This window comes from Homo sapiens, chromosome 16 (genome assembly GCF_000001405.40).
Source record: "Homo sapiens chromosome 16, GRCh38.p14 Primary Assembly".
Taxonomy (NCBI): Eukaryota; Metazoa; Chordata; class Mammalia; order Primates; family Hominidae; genus Homo; species Homo sapiens.
In genome coordinates, this window is record NC_000016.10 from 86,331,773 (window position 1) to 86,346,706 (window position 14,934).

At 52.1% G+C, this 14,934-nt stretch overlaps 1 long non-coding RNA gene across 1 annotated transcript, besides 3 other annotated features; it reads right to left on the bottom strand.

Annotated features, from left to right (window-relative positions):
* Positions 1-77: 77 nt before the first annotated feature.
* LINC00917 (long intergenic non-protein coding RNA 917) lies at positions 78-13,907 on the bottom strand. The gene is made up of 7 exons (NR_024406.1): positions 13,720-13,907; positions 6,978-7,060; positions 5,910-6,889; positions 5,589-5,820; positions 1,916-2,135; positions 1,187-1,272; positions 78-906 (listed from the first exon to the last, which is right to left on the bottom strand). It is a non-coding gene; the product is annotated as a long intergenic non-protein coding RNA 917 (long non-coding RNA).
* Positions 5,451-5,745: a silencer, noted in NCBI's record as "tiled region #8769; K562 Repressive non-DNase unmatched - State 22:ReprW". NCBI's record gives its function as "represses a minimal TATA promoter and a strong SV40 promoter by Sharpr-MPRA in K562 cells {active_cell/tissue: K562}" and the evidence as "EXISTENCE:reporter gene assay evidence [ECO:0000049][PMID:27701403]".
* Positions 5,451-6,501: a biological region, named in NCBI's record as "Sharpr-MPRA regulatory region 8769".
* Positions 5,570-6,501: an enhancer, noted in NCBI's record as "H3K4me1 hESC enhancer chr16:86370948-86371879 (GRCh37/hg19 assembly coordinates)". NCBI's record gives its function as "activates a minimal SCP1, AML or CMV promoter by ChIP-STARR-seq in naive H9 embryonic stem cells {active_cell/tissue: H9 hESC(naive)}" and the evidence as "EXISTENCE:reporter gene assay evidence [ECO:0000049][PMID:30033119]".
* Positions 13,908-14,934: the final 1,027 nt, after the last annotated feature.

Genomic DNA, 14,934 nt, shown 5'->3' on the forward strand with positions numbered 1-14,934 from the left:
AGGTCCTGGGGACACAGCAGGGAATACCACAGTATCAGTTTCTTATGCCTGCCCTAACAAATTCCCACAAATCTAGTGGCAGAAACAACACACATTTATTAGTTTACAGTTCTGGAGGTCAGAAGTCCAGCACAGGCCTCACTGGGCTAAAATTAGGGTGTTGACAGGGCTGGTTCCTTCTGGTGGCCCCAACGCAGCGTCTATTCCTTGTCTTTTCCAGAGACTACCACGTTCCTTGGTTTGTAGCCCCTTAATCTTCAAAGTCAGCAGTTGCATTTTGAGTCCTTCTCATGACACCATGACTGGTTCTCTCTTTTGTCTCATTCAGGATCATCTCCCTACTTTAAGGTCGGCTGATTAGCAACCTTCACTCCACCTGCCACCTTAATCCCTCTTTGCCATGGCACCTAGTGGAATCCCAGGTTCCAGGGATTAGGATGCAGATGTCTTGGATGGCATCACCTGCTAGCACAGGTCCCTTTTCCCTCCTCCTGTCCATGCCCAGCCCCTCTCCCAACCCAGAGGAACCAGGCACCAGCTTGGCTTCGGGGCCTGGAGAGAAGTCCTTGAGTGATGGCAATGGTGACACCCATGATAGCAATGAGAGCAGCAGTCACAATGACGGACCAGATGGCTCTCCAAGCACAGACGCTTCTGTGAGTGTTTCTTTCTTTCACCACCCAGTGATCCTGTGACTTGCTGGGTTCACACAGCCCGAGTGAGTGGGGATGTAATGGTGCATTATCAGGCTCAGAATCCCAAGCTTTCCCTCCACACCGCAGTCCACAGGACCACGAGTTTCCTCGTGGCAGGGACCATGCTCATCTTTGTGAGTAGACAGGCTGCTTCAGCCAAGAGCAATGATCTGGACTCAGAGCTCAGGGCCAACTCCTGCTGGATGTAAACCTGGGGGACAGGGGATGGGGGGGTTCGTCATCCATCAACCGGGGGTCCATAGCCCACCTTGCCGGGTTGTTGTGAGGATTAAATGAGGTTATCTAAGGGTTTCCTGAGACATTGAGAGCCTCAGCAAACGGGAGTCAAGATTAAGACTCTGCACCCAGTCTTCCCCATGTGTCTGTGGGGCACGATCCTTGTGGTGTGTGCTGTGCTGTGGGAGGGATTGAGTGCACTGAGCAAAGAACATCCACTCTCCAGCGTGAGTGCTTAATTCCATGCAACAAACCTTTCTGTGCTCCTACTGTGTGCCAGGCTCTGGGTGAAGTGCTGAGGACTCGAAGATGACTTAGGTTCAAGGCTTTGCCCTTTCATCTATGCAAATTACAGATAAAGTCAGATTGCCTCCAAATAATTTGATAAGGCCATCATTATTATTATAAATAAAAAGAGTAATAACACCTAATATGTTGAGAATTTGTACGTGACAGTCACTATTCTAAGCAATTTTCCTGGACTGCCGCATTTCCTTACAGGGACCCGGGTGGGAGGTACTATTCTTATCCCTATTTTACAGATAAGCAGGAAATTGTTGCTCTGCATGGTTACCTAGATGGTTCCAGGTCAAATGGCTAGAAAGGAAGGGAATCAACATTTGAACCCAAGACCAGGAGTAAAAAGGGCTTGCAACAGGAAACATAATCGGGGGTGCAGCTCCCATGGGACACGAACTCTCTACTGAAGCTGAATATGAGCACAGCCTCCCACCTGGAGATTCCACATTTAGGCACAATTGCAAGAAAAATGTGTCCACGTCCACAAAAGGACCATCACCAGAGCATTCGGGCATCACTGTTTGTAACAGCCAATGACCAGAAACTCCTTCAATGCTTTTCAACACTAGGATGGATCAGTGAATTATGGGATAGGTATGCAGAGGAATATCATGGAAAAATGAGAATGCACAAATCTTGCCACACACAACAGCAAGGGTGCGTCTCCCTAATATAACACTTACCAAAGGAATCCAGGCACCGAAGGGTATGCCCTGTGTGACACCCTTTAAAATGCTCACAACCAGGTGCACAGGTCTCCATTTGCAGGGGCGTCAAGCTGGGCTGCAGCTGCTTTCCCCTGCTTGGTCCCAGGTTGGAGTTGGTGGGAAGAGGAAAGTGAGAGGGATCTGGAAGTTGGAAGTGGAGCAGCTGCCACGACCCCCGAAAGTCCTTGTGGCTGTCCTGGGGAGAGACAGGCAAGGAGGTGCTGATTGATGACAACTTGCTCTTGTTCTCCCTGTCTCCCCAACTGTAAGCCTCACTGACCACCAGTGACCCAGGGACCACCAGTCACAGAAGCAGCTGTGCCCCGCAGACCCCTCCACTGCCTCCCGTCCCCATTCTCCACGTGCCAGCCGGCTTTCTGGATTTCCCTGCAAGCTGCACTCACTGATGTTTCTGGAAGCCTCCTTGGGGAGGAACTTGCTTCTGAACCCCCCTAGTTCCTCCCACAATTGCGGAGGGTCTAAATCCCTGTCATAAATCTGTTATTCCACACCACTCGTAGTAGTTCTGCCTCCCTCATTGGCTGGGGCGTCACAGGCGTTATCAGGAGGTGGGAGTGGCAGCCAGGAGGGGCACCGGAGCCTCTGGGCTGAGGGGCTGGCTCCAGGGCAGGGATGATTTCACAAAAATTCACTAAGCTGCATGCCTGTGATTTGCATACTTGTCTGTATTTTTGTTGTATTTCAACATGCAATCTTTAAAGGGTGTTTTAAAGGGTGTTTTGCTATCACAGTCACTTTTATCATGATGCATATTAAGTTCCCAAAACAGAGGCAGAAGGCACAGAAAATGGTTTCACTTGATGAGTCTGCCAGACTCCTGGGCTGGGATGAGCAGGGCAGGGACCGCCTTATCTTCTGTGAATTCCCAGGGCCTGACTGCCCCTAACCCAGGGTGGGGCTCAGTGAAGGCCACTGTGAGGAGGCTGGGTGCACACAGCGGGGGAACCGGTACAGAGGGGGCCTGGGTCAGAGGGGGCCTGGGAGGAGGGAAGACGGGGATGGGGAAGGGATGGTTCCCATCTCTTCGGGAGGAGAGCCTTGAGTGGCTTGTCCTTTCCATTTTAAGAGTCTCTTATCTCAGAGGACATTGCCCAGAGCAAGGGACGGCACTCAGAAACTCATAAACCGCTTTCCCACCAGCTCTTCCAGGGACCCTGAGAAAGACCCTCACTTTGGGATTGAGGGGCGGAGACCAGGGGGATTCTCCGGACTCTGGCTCTCCTGGGTCTGAGTGAAATTTCAGCCTCTGGGGTCTCAGCTTCCTGCTAAGAAATGGCTTTTGTTTCTTCAACAGTTACTGAAAGAGGATTGCTATGGGTCAGGGGCTGTTCTTTCTCGGCCAAAATGGACAAACCTGTATCTCCCAAGGATCCCTGTCTAGGAAGGAATACAAAATAAGTTTCTCTGCAAATTACATATATAATTTTTTATATAATTAATATACATATGTTAGATTTTATATATAATTAATATGTAATTACATATCTATACATATATTTGCATACTTTGTATATTTATTTTTTACCACCTTCTCTACTTTCTGTGCAGGTCCTGGTGCCACCCTCTGTCACCTGGGTCATCACAGTAGCCCAGAACGCGCCTCCCTGCTAGCGCCTGGCCTGCCACTGGTCAGTTCTAACACAGCAGCCAATGTGATTCTTTAACACCTGAGTTGGGTCCCATCTCGGCCCTGCTCCGAACCCTCCAACAGCTTCCAACTCAGCCAGGTGTAATCTGAGGCTCTTAACAGGGCCCAAGGCCTCCCCGAGCCAATCCCACCTGCCCCTCCCCCTCGCTGCGTCCACTCCGGCCTCCTGCCTGCCCCTGGATGGCCCCTGCACCTCTGGCCACGGCACCATCTCTGCACTGGCTCCTCTTGTCTCTGCAGGAGTGCGGAGATCTGGGGATCCAGTAGTGGCCACCCCTCCCTCCCTTCAGGCCCTACCTAAACAACATCACGCAGCACCCGCAGTCTCCAGCCTGTTTCCCTGCCTTATTTTCCTTCGCAGGACTTGACACCCGCAGGCCCGGGGCCTCATGGATTGTGGGTCCTCCCGCACTGAAATGGAAGCTTCCTGAGGACAGGGTCTTTGCTGGCTTCTCCCGCATAGAGACCAGGGCCTGGAATGCACTGTAGCTGCTAAAGAAATATTTGCTGGCCTAATGAATGAATGAATGAATGAATGATTCATCCTTGCCCCGCCCCTTGCTCCCTCCACCCACCCTCCCCGGCCTCTGGGCCAGTGGCTGCCATTTCCGATGAATGTGAATAGATGGTCTCCTGGGAGCCGCCTTTTCCTGCTAGACTTCCAAGGGCCTGTGTTCCCGAGACAAAAGGGCCTCTGGCCCACTTGCCATCCCTCCCAGCACACAGGCTTATGAAGGGCGAACACCCTGGGACCTGGTGACTGTTAAAGCCTTTATCACCCTTTCCTCATAAACCTCTACTCTGAAACCAGCCAACCCCCTCATCTTTGCAAAGCTTTTCAGGGAAGGGTGGACGGCAGTGAGTTGTCTGCAAACTTTGAGTAGGATCTGAGCACAGGGTCCCTCCCTCCCGGTCTCCTTCTGCTCTGTGCTTTCCCTCTTTCTCTCCCTTCCCTTCCCCTGCCTGTCTCCCACCCCTTTTCATCTTCTGTCTGCTTCCTCCTGTGGGGACAGCAGAACCTATTCCAGTCTCCGCTGGGCTGGAAGCCCTCGGCCTCCATGGGGAGCCTGGGCCCCCAAGCCACAGGGAACAGCAACAGGGGAGTCAGCCTCCTCATCCCCACGCAAAGAGTGCTCAGCCCCTTCATCCCCACGCAGAGAGGGCTCAGCCCCTTCATCCCCACGCAGAGAGGGTTCGGTCTCCTCATCCCCACGCAGAGAGGGGTCGGCCTCCTCATCCCCACGCAGAGGGGGTTCAACCTCCTCATCCGCACGCAGAGAGGGCTCAGCCTCCTCAGTCCCACGCAGAGAGGGTTCAGCCCCTTGATCCCTACGCAGAGGGGGCTCAGCCTCCTCATCCCCACGCAGAGAGGGCTCAGCCTCCTCATCCCCACGCAGAGGGGGTTCAGCCTCCTCATCCCCACGCAGAGAGGGCTCAGCCTCCTCATCCCCACGCAGAGAGGGCTCAGCCTCCTCATCCCCACGCAGAGGGGGTTCAGCCTCCTCATCCCCACGCAGAGGGGGTTCAGCCTCCTCATCCCCACGCAGAGGGGGTTCAGCCTCCTCATCCCCACGCAGAGAGGGCTCAGCCTCCTCATCCGCACGCAGAGAGGGCTCAGCCTCCTCAGTCCCACGCAGAGAGGGTTCAGCCCCTTGATCCCTACGCAGAGAGGGTTCAGCCTCCTCATCCCCACGCAGAGAGGGTTCAGCCTCCTCATCCCCACGCAGAGAGGGCTCAGCCTCCTCATCCCCACGCAGAGGGGGCTCAGCCTCCTCATCCCCACGCAGAGGGGGTTCAGCCTGGGCTGCAGGAAGCAAACCCCTGACCCGCTGCAGGCTGACCCCAGACACTGAAGGTTGTGCGGGCCTTAAGGCCGTGCTGGGAGATTCAGGGGGTGACACCCGGGGGCTCATTTCCTGAGCTAGGAGATGCAGGGGCGGGGAGTGGGGCACAGCGCTGCCAGCAGAGGCTGAGACGCACCTGAGAGGGGAGGAAGCTTCCGCTCTTCTGGCCTCCCGGATCCGCCAGGGCTCCTGCTGCTCCCACTTCCGCCACCCAGGAGGGCCAGGCCGCCGTCTTGAGTTTCCCTCCAGCCTGGCCTAGGGACGACTCTTCTTCAGTGCCGCCTTCTCCACCGAGTCCTCGCATATTAAGATTCCAGAAGGTTCTGATCTCCTGGTGCTTCAGTGTAAACGAGTGTGTTTGGGGATAGCTGTGGGAAGTCAGGGCTGAGAAAGGAGAAACACTCAGCTCCCCACACACGTTTGTCCCAGGAAACAATAGCCCTCCGTCCCCGCCCACCTGGCCTGTGGGGATCCACTCATTCTTTCACAGATATCCAGGACTGGGTTAGGGAGCCTGGTGGTGGCAGGAGGCCGCCCTCCAGCTCGCTGGCTGCCGTGTGGAAGTCCTTTCTCCTCGGATTCTGATCTAGGGACGGCCCACAAGCTCCTGGCGAGGATGAACTGAGTTCAGTGATGTCAAGCTCGGCACAGTGCCTGTCCACAATGAGCCCAATAATTTTTAGCTATTGTCACGTCGACGGTACCACCCACCTGGATGCCACTCACCTGGACACCATTCACCTGGGTGATGCCCCTCACCTGGACACCACTCACCTGGGTGCCACCACCTGGACACCACTTACCTGGATGCCACTCACCTGGACACCATTCACCTGGGTGATGCCACTCACCTGGACACCATTCACCTGGCTGTCACTCACCTGGGCACCACTCGCCTGGGTGCCACCACCTGGACCCCACTTACCTGGATGTGACTCACTTGGGCACCACTCAACTGGGTGCCACTCACCTGGGTGTTATGCACCTGGACAATGCTAGTCACGTGGATGCCACTCGCCTGGGTGTCACTCACCTGAATGCTACTCACCTGGGTGCCATTTACCTGGATGATGTCACTCACCTGGATGTCGTCACTCACCTGGATGTCACCTAGGTGCCACTTACCTGGATGATATCACTCACCTGGATGCCACTCACCCAGGTGTCACCTGGATAATGCCACTCACCCGAATGCCACTCACCTGGGTGCCACTCACCTGGAAGCTACTCACCTGGATGATGCCACTCACACAGACGCCACTAACCTGAATGTCACTCACCTAGGTGTCACTCACCTGGATGCTACTCACCTGGGTGCCACTCAACTGGGATGTCACTCACCTGGGTGCCACCCACCTGAACACCACTCACCTGGGTGTGTGAGAACAGTGGAAGTTCCTGGAACATAGTTGGCATTCATCCTTCCCAATGCTTGCTCTAGACGAGGAAGCCATGATGTTTGCTCTTCCATTCCCTCCCTCCTCTGAGTCCCCCTCCTCCCCAACCCCATCTCCTTTCTCCTTACCTCATACACAGCCAGCCCTTACATGGTTATTTCTTCATGTCATCTGCCACCTCTGGGCAGCCAGGCTCCCCCAGACTCAAGCCCTGCAAAGAGAGGGTAGGACCTGAACCACCTCACCTGGCACAGCCCACCTGTCCCAGCATGGGCTTCAGACACCAGACCTCATGGGACCCACAGCTCCCTCTGCCCCTCTGGCATTCAGCCCCCAAGAGGTGGCAGCGCTCCTACTTATACACCAGGTGCCCTTTCCCACATGCCAATGGGCAGTGCTTGGAACCGCTCAGCAGGGAGGCTGCTGGCTGCCCCCAGTCTTCCAGGCCTCCAGACATTCTTCCTGAGCTTGCCCAGGTGGGTTTTGGGTGGGAGTCCATTCATTCATTCATTTAATGATGACAAATATTCTCTACTTTAATGAGGAGAGTGAAAATACACAGTTGAGGACCAACAGACAAAAACAAAAAAACCCAAAATAGTTGCTCTGGAGAGTGGCACTGGGCATGGGGAGGAGTAAAGCAGGAAGCCGGTGTTTTCATTTTCTTCCCAACTTTTATTTTAGGTTCAGAGGGTGCATGTGCAGGTTTGTTATGTGGGTGAAGTGCATGTCGCAGGGGGCTGGTGTGCGATTATTTCTTCACCCAGGTAATCAGCATAGTACCTGCTAGGCAGTGTGTCCATCCTCACCCTCCTCCTACCCGCCACCCTTGAGGAGGCCCAGTGTCTGTTGTTCCCCTCTGTGGGTCCATATGTTCTCATCATTAACTCCCGCTTATACGTGAGAACATGCTGTATTTAATTTTCCGTTCCTGTGTTACTTTGCTGAGGCTAATGGCCTCCACCTGCACCCGTGTTGCAGCAAAGGACATGATCTCATTCTTGTTATGGTGGCATAGTATTCCACAGTGCGTGTATACCACATTTTCTGTAGTCTACTGTCAATAGGCGTTTAGGTTGATTCCACGTCTTTGTTATTGTCAATAGTGCCACGATGAACACACACATGCATGTGTGTCTATTCCTGTCTATACCCAGTGATGGAATTGCTGGTTCACATGGAAGTTCTGAGTTCTCTGAGAAATCTCCAAACTGCTTTCCACAGCGGCTGCACTAATTTACATTCCCATCGACAGTGTGTTTTCCATGAAAGGCTGTTGAGGATTATTTGATCTTTCTTAACCACGTGCATTTATTAGATCAGGAAAAAGAATAGTACAAATGGGATTACGCCACTCCCCACTGAGTCCCCTCCAATGACCCTGGGGCTCACAGAGCAGATCTCCGGTCCTCCTTGTGGACTCTGAGCCATGCTGGCCTGGCCCCACCTCCCTCTCCAGCCTCTGCTGCAGCCACACTCCACTTGAAGGCCTGCCACAGGGCCTTCAAATATGCTATTCCCTCCCAGGTGCTCTTTTCCCAGCTATCACTGTAGCCAGCTCCTCACCTTCAGGTCTCAGATTAAACTTCATCAGACCTTCCAATTCTAATGATCTGTTTGTGTGGTTATTTGACCATTTCCCCAGTAGACTCTAAGCTTCCGGAGGGCAGGGCCATGTCTGCTCACCCATGGGTGAATACCTGCCCCCAGCACTGCCCTGGCTCATGTGGAGTCTCTGCATATTTTTGGACATAACAAACAACGTAGTAGTGATCTAGCCCCTGCGACAAGACGTTTAGAAGCCTCTCTCCCATGGAGCACTGGTGCCTTCCCATTAGCCAAGATGTCGGCACAATCACTGTCCTGTTTCTTAGGCCTCACCAGGGAGGCCTCTGCGCAGTGATGTGGGATCAGGGAACTTGGCCTGAGCATAGGCTTGAACAGATGTGAGGGAAAGGGAGAAACAGTGTCTCCCGCAAAGCATCTCCCTAATATCCTGACACGGGGCTTAAATTCCACCATAAAAATCACTCCTCGGGACTCTGGAAAGGCACCAGTGGAAGACAAATGAGATTGAAGGAGATAATGCCTGTGGCAGTGAAATACACGGCGGCATAAAAAAAAAACAAGGTCTCGAATGTTCTTGCAGTGGAGTGGTGGTTTCGCCCCATCCAGCTGGTGTCATGGCAGACCTGGTTTCTGTGGGGCTCCTACCTGCCCCCAGGCTGGGCTCTCCCATCCGGGAGAGCGGCGCGCCCCTCGTCCTCACCACCAGGGGGCGCAGGGGAGCCCCATCTCAGCACCTGCAGAGTGCACAGGTTGGGGGCACAAGCCCAGCTCCCACTTGGGTTTCATCCCCAACACCTGGAAAACTTAAGGAAACTTCACACACACACACACACACACACACACACACACACACACACACACACCTGCAGATTCTTTAACCCCCGTCCCAGAGAATCTGGTATGGAGTGGACCCTGGGAATTTAGTGGTTGTGTTGGTTTTTTAAACAAGTGCCTTGATTGCAACTGATGTAGCCAGGTCCGTGAACCGTGCGTGAGTTCACTACAAACCGACTTTGCCCTAAAACCGCACAAAGGAAATTAGCCACAGTCATCCCTGATCATGAGGGGAATGAGAACAAAGGAAAAAGGAACCTAGATGAGTCATTCTTTTCTCTAATTTTCCACTGGCCATGCCCCCAAGTTCCCCGGCCACTGTGGACACACAGGGAGCGCGGGCGCCAGGACGGAGCCAGGGCTTAGTTGTCCTGCTGTGATGAGAACAGGCAATGTGAGGTTAACAAAGGTAAAGAGGCTGGAGGGAAAGAAGTCGTTAGTGCTGTCTGTGGATGCCCAAGACGCACATTTTAATTTTTCCACTTTTTCTGTGCTGGTTTCTTACCTCAGGTGCAGACGGCCAACAAACGGCAGCCCTCGGCTGCTGGTGCACCATTTTCGTCCCTGGCCCGACGGAACCCCTCTCTCGTTTTATTTCTCCAGCCCCCTCCTGAGGGTTTCCTACTCCCATTCCTTCTCTGCCTGTGGGCAACGGTTCCAACGGGTCTAAAGGGTGCTCTTAGTGTGGAAACAATTTGCATAAATGGTCTTGTGTTAGATATTTCGTTCTATTTTTCTCCCCTCCCCACCCCACCCCAACCCTCAGCAAGGTATTAAGACACACCCACTGTATTGGGTCCATATGCACTGTCCCTAGCTGGCACCCCTCACTCCATGGGGGGCGCCCCACGCTGTACTGTCCACTGTCCCAGTGGTAAGCTCCTCAGCTCTCACCATCATAAACGACACCATGAGGGACATGGAGGCACATGTCCCTTATGGATGTGTGAGAATTCCACTAGCTGCTCACCCAGGATGGGATGGAACTGGGCTGTAGGGTGTGTTAATCAGATTAACTACAACTAGTCAGACTTTTATGCCCTAATTGTAAGAGAAAAGATTAGTTTAGTAAATGCAAGTATCCCATGACGCAAATGCTTTTGGGCCCCAAAGGGCAGCACAGAGCCTTCAAAACTGGACACAATCCCTTCTGACTATTCCTCTCTGTGCATGTCGGAAATAGAGAGCACCGTTCTTGTCCTTCACACTTTAGTTTCTGCTCAAATATCTAAAATCAAGGTGAAGAAACCCTCTCTGTGAGCAAATATGGAAGAGGATTTGGGGATCCCCAGGGGGTGAGCTGGAACCACAGCATCGGTCTCATCTGGGAGTTTGCTAGAAATCCACAGCCCAGACCCCAATCAATCAGAAACTGCAGAGGTGGGGCCCGGAAGTCCATGTTTGAACAAGTCTCTGGGGGACTCTCAGACATGTTGAAGTTTGGCGATAAATAAGGGCAAGCCTAGTTGATATCTAGGTAGGAGATATACATCAGGGGTGTCCTCTTTTGGCTTCTCTGGCTGGGCCACATGGAAAGGAGAAGAATTGTCTTGGGCCATACCTAAAATACACTAACACTCACCATAGCTGATGAGCTAAAAAAAGAAAATGACAAAAAATTTCATAATGTTTTAAGAAAGTTTAGGAATTTCTGTTGGGCCACATTCAAAGCTCTCCTTGGCCACATGTGGCCCTAGAGCCTTGGGTTGGACAAGCTTGATATAGGTGGATCAATAGATACAGATTGACTGATTGAATGAAGCTGGTTTTGGCAAATCGTAGAACACAGAAGCACAAGCTTGAAATTCCCCTCAGAGAGCATTTGGTGGTCTGACCCCCAGAATCTTCCTGGAAAAGAAGCCAGGAGCACTTAGCAGTTGGGACTGAGGTACCAGCCGTCTGCTTCAAGCAGAAGATCTCAACTGTTTTCTATTTTACAAAGGACACATCTTGGGAAGGTTTCCTTAGAAAATAAGGTCCCAGGATGAGATGAGCTAAAAACTCCTAACCCATTCCAGTCTCTCCTCATTTTACAGACAAGGAAACTAAAGCCCAGAGAGACAAACTGCTTCCCTGAAGGTCACACAGCTATTCCTGGCAGAGGCAGGCAGACTGAGTTCATCTGGATCCAGGGCTTCCTGTGTGCGCTGCACCAGCCCTACGTGAGTATAAGAAGGTTCTGGATGGGCTCTCGGAGCCGTCGAGACAATCCCATGCCGGGCAGCCTGATTTGAGCCCCCCAAGGTCCCGGAGCGAGCTTGCTGGGGCCTGCTCAGTCCTCCCCACTTTGGAGCCCACCCCCCATCAGAAACACGGAAAGCCAAGCTGGCACACAGCTGGCGGCTTCAGGTTCCCGGCCAAGTTCATTTTGACATTACAAGACAAAAAGCACAGCATGTTGCGATGGGACTGGCCGTTACTGCGGTGCCATTCAACAGGGTTTACGATTTTCCTGGAGCCTCTCGGCCGGGTGATGCCAGAGAGTAAGCCAGAAAAAGAAAATTCCTAGGTGACGTAAATGCAGTCACGACGCTTGCGAGGGGCATGCACTTTTCCTGCCCCGGGAAGGGGTGGGGTGCGGGGAACGGAGCCATTTTAGATCCAAATAGAGAAAGAGAAAACGAAAAAAAAAAAAAAACCCTGTGCTGTGTATTCATTTCATTGCATAAGATCCTTGTTCACTCACTGGCTTTGTTTTCCAACCAAATGCCTTTGACTTAATAAATGCTCTGGGCAATTAGCAGACAGGGGGCCCCCCATGAAATCATCAGAGCTGAGATCACTCGAGAGGGTATCAGACAGTCAGGACATTAATTGCATTATTTTATTTCCAGATAAAAGTTATTTTGGTGGAGCCAGGCTTGCCAGAGAAGAAGCTGATAAGATCAGATGCCGTCTCTCACTGCCAGATATCCTATTAGGGGTCTCAGCAGACAGGGGATTGGGTGACAGTCCAGATCTGCATGGACAGCAGGAGTTTGTTTCAGGCCAGAGGAAAAGCCCAGGGTGCCTGAGGAGTTCCCTTATGCCATGGAGAAGCAAAGTGGGCTATGCAGGCCCTCTGGGGGCTTTAGATAAAGCGAGTACGCTTCTGATGGCCCTAGCCACAGCAATGGCTTTCACAGGAAAGAAAAAAAAATTCTCTTCTCTTTCTTTTTCAAGAGAGGGACTCTTGGTTCCTTAGTAAACATAGATGCCTGGACTCGGTGCGCAGCCTAAGGTCTCTCTCTCTTGGCAGTGGCCCAAAACGCTCTCCCAAGCAAAAGGGAAAAGAAGACAGAGGGGGGTTGGGGATTGTGTCAGGTAGTGAGCTGTTTCCTGGAGAAGCCTGCGTCTGGTTCCAGAGGGAAGTGAGTTTCTAAGAGAAGGCATCTGTAGGAATTTTGCCCATCAGCCGTGACACCAGCACTGCTGTTGGAGGGATGAACAGCTCATGACAAAGTCCTGTCTCCTCTCTCCCCTTCCCCGTGTCTGTGCAATATCATTAGAACTGGCAGACCCTTATTAAAAACAGTTGGCCACTGAGAGGCTATATCCTGTGTGAGACAGAAGCCCAGATGGTAGGTGGTCTTACTTTTGGGGTGGGGTGTTCCAGGTGGTAACAGCCTCGAGGGCGGGAGGACCATGCCGCCTGTTTCTTGGCATCCGTAGGTGGTTCCTGCCTCCTTCCCTTTGGCAGGTGTGTGGGAAGGATTGAGTGTGAAGGGATGCTCACAAGCACTGAGAAGATGGCCTGGCACTTGTGAAATGACAGAGGTGGCCTGGGAGGTGTCCCGGACCCTGGATTTAATGTGCAACACATGGTTCAGTCGGTCCCAATGTTGGGACTGTAGAGAACGTACCAGAAGCCTCACAGATACTCAAGGAGTCGTGATTATTAGGACTGGGCTGAGTTAGCTCTATCTAGTACTTTGTAATTTTAAAGACCTACTCAAGCAATATTACAATATAAACGGGATCACATGGACTACCTTTCTACTTCAAACAACTCCAGAGGCATCCTGCTGTGGATAACAGAAGCTGATTCTCTTTCTCTCTCCGCCTCCTCCTCGTCTTCCACCTCCCTCATAAAGCATCCCCCAGCACTGACAGGGTACCGTCATAATGATGGTTATATTGAACTATGTGAGTGCCTACTCTTTGCTAACCAAACTAAATTATTAGTTGCATCATTTCATCTCAACTTCACACAGTTATTATATTTTTTCCTTTTTCTTTTATTATGGCAAAGTCTAGTTAATGTAAACCTTGCCATTTTAACTTTTTTAAAGTGAATATTTCAGTGGCATTGGGTCCATTCGCATTATCGCACCACCATCGCCACCGTCCAATTTCAAAACTGTTTCCATCCTGCAGAACTGGCACTTAGTATTCATTACACGACCCCCTCCTGCAGCCACGCTGGGAGCTGACCCTCTCCACCCATGCTTCGTGCACTCAGGCGCTCATCCAGGGATCATCCTGTACCTCAGACTCTGCCAAGAACTGTCCGGCCCCAGGGCCTTTGCAAGCGCAGGTCGCACGGCCTGGGATGCCCTCTCCCAGCTCACCACATGGCTGGCTCTTTCCCATTCATTGGCCTCAGCCCAGTGGCCTCCTTCTCGTCAGAGAGGCCGCCCCTGCCTGCCCTGGCTGGCCGGCCCCTCCCCCACAATGACTCTATGACATCATCGTGTTCCTTCTCCTCGGAGCCCTCAGACCCTCTGAAATCCTCTGGTCTGTGTTTTGTTTCCTCCGTCTCTATCTCTCTCCCCACTAGAAGGCAGGTCTCAGGAGGGCAAGGACCCGGCCTGTCCAGCTTCCAGCCGTAGCCCCAGGGCCGGGTGTGCAGTAGATACTCAACAAGCCTTCTTTCCTCCCACCAGCCTTTCCTCCACAAGGGGAGACAGGACTTGGGGGTGTTTTTGGGGGTCTAAACAACACAAAGGAAAGAGACGCTGAAGTGGGTGAGCTGGCCTCGCACTGCACTTCCTGCTGGAGTTCAAAGTCAGCCCTGCCCCTGGAACTGCCATGGCCAGTTTAGATTGTTCCAGAATCCCGCTGCAGGCTGTTCAAAAGGCTCCCAGCTGCTATCAGGAAATAGCTCAGGAAGGTCCCTGTTAAACACCACCCCCATCCCCGTAACCCTGAGCAGCCCTCCGCCACCTGCTATTTTCTATCTCTGAGAATTTGCTGACATTAGGCAAGTCATGTCTGTGGAATTATACAATGTTTGTCCTTTTATGAGTGGTTTGTTTCACTCGGCACCATATCCTCAAGGCTCACTCATGTCATAGCAGGTGTCAGAACTTCCTTCCTTTTTAAGGCTGAATAATATTCCACTGTATGGATGGACCACGTTTTGTTTATCCATTCTCCTGTCAATGAACATTTTCGTTGCTCTCAGCATTTGGCTGTTAGGAATAGCGCTCTGAGGACATTTGTGCACACGTGTTTGCATGGATTTAATTGTTTTTCCTTTTCTTGCCTGTTCTTGGGTGTCGTGGCCAAGAAGCCACTGCCGAGTCCAACATTGTGAAGCTTTCCCCCTATGTTTTCTTCTAAGAGTTTTGTAGTTTTTTTACATTTAGTTATTATGGTAATGCCTTTGATCCTTTTTGAGTTAATTTTTTGTATCTGGTGTAAGAGAAGGGCTCAACTTCATTCTTCTGCGTGTGGTATTTGGTTTTCCAAATACCATTT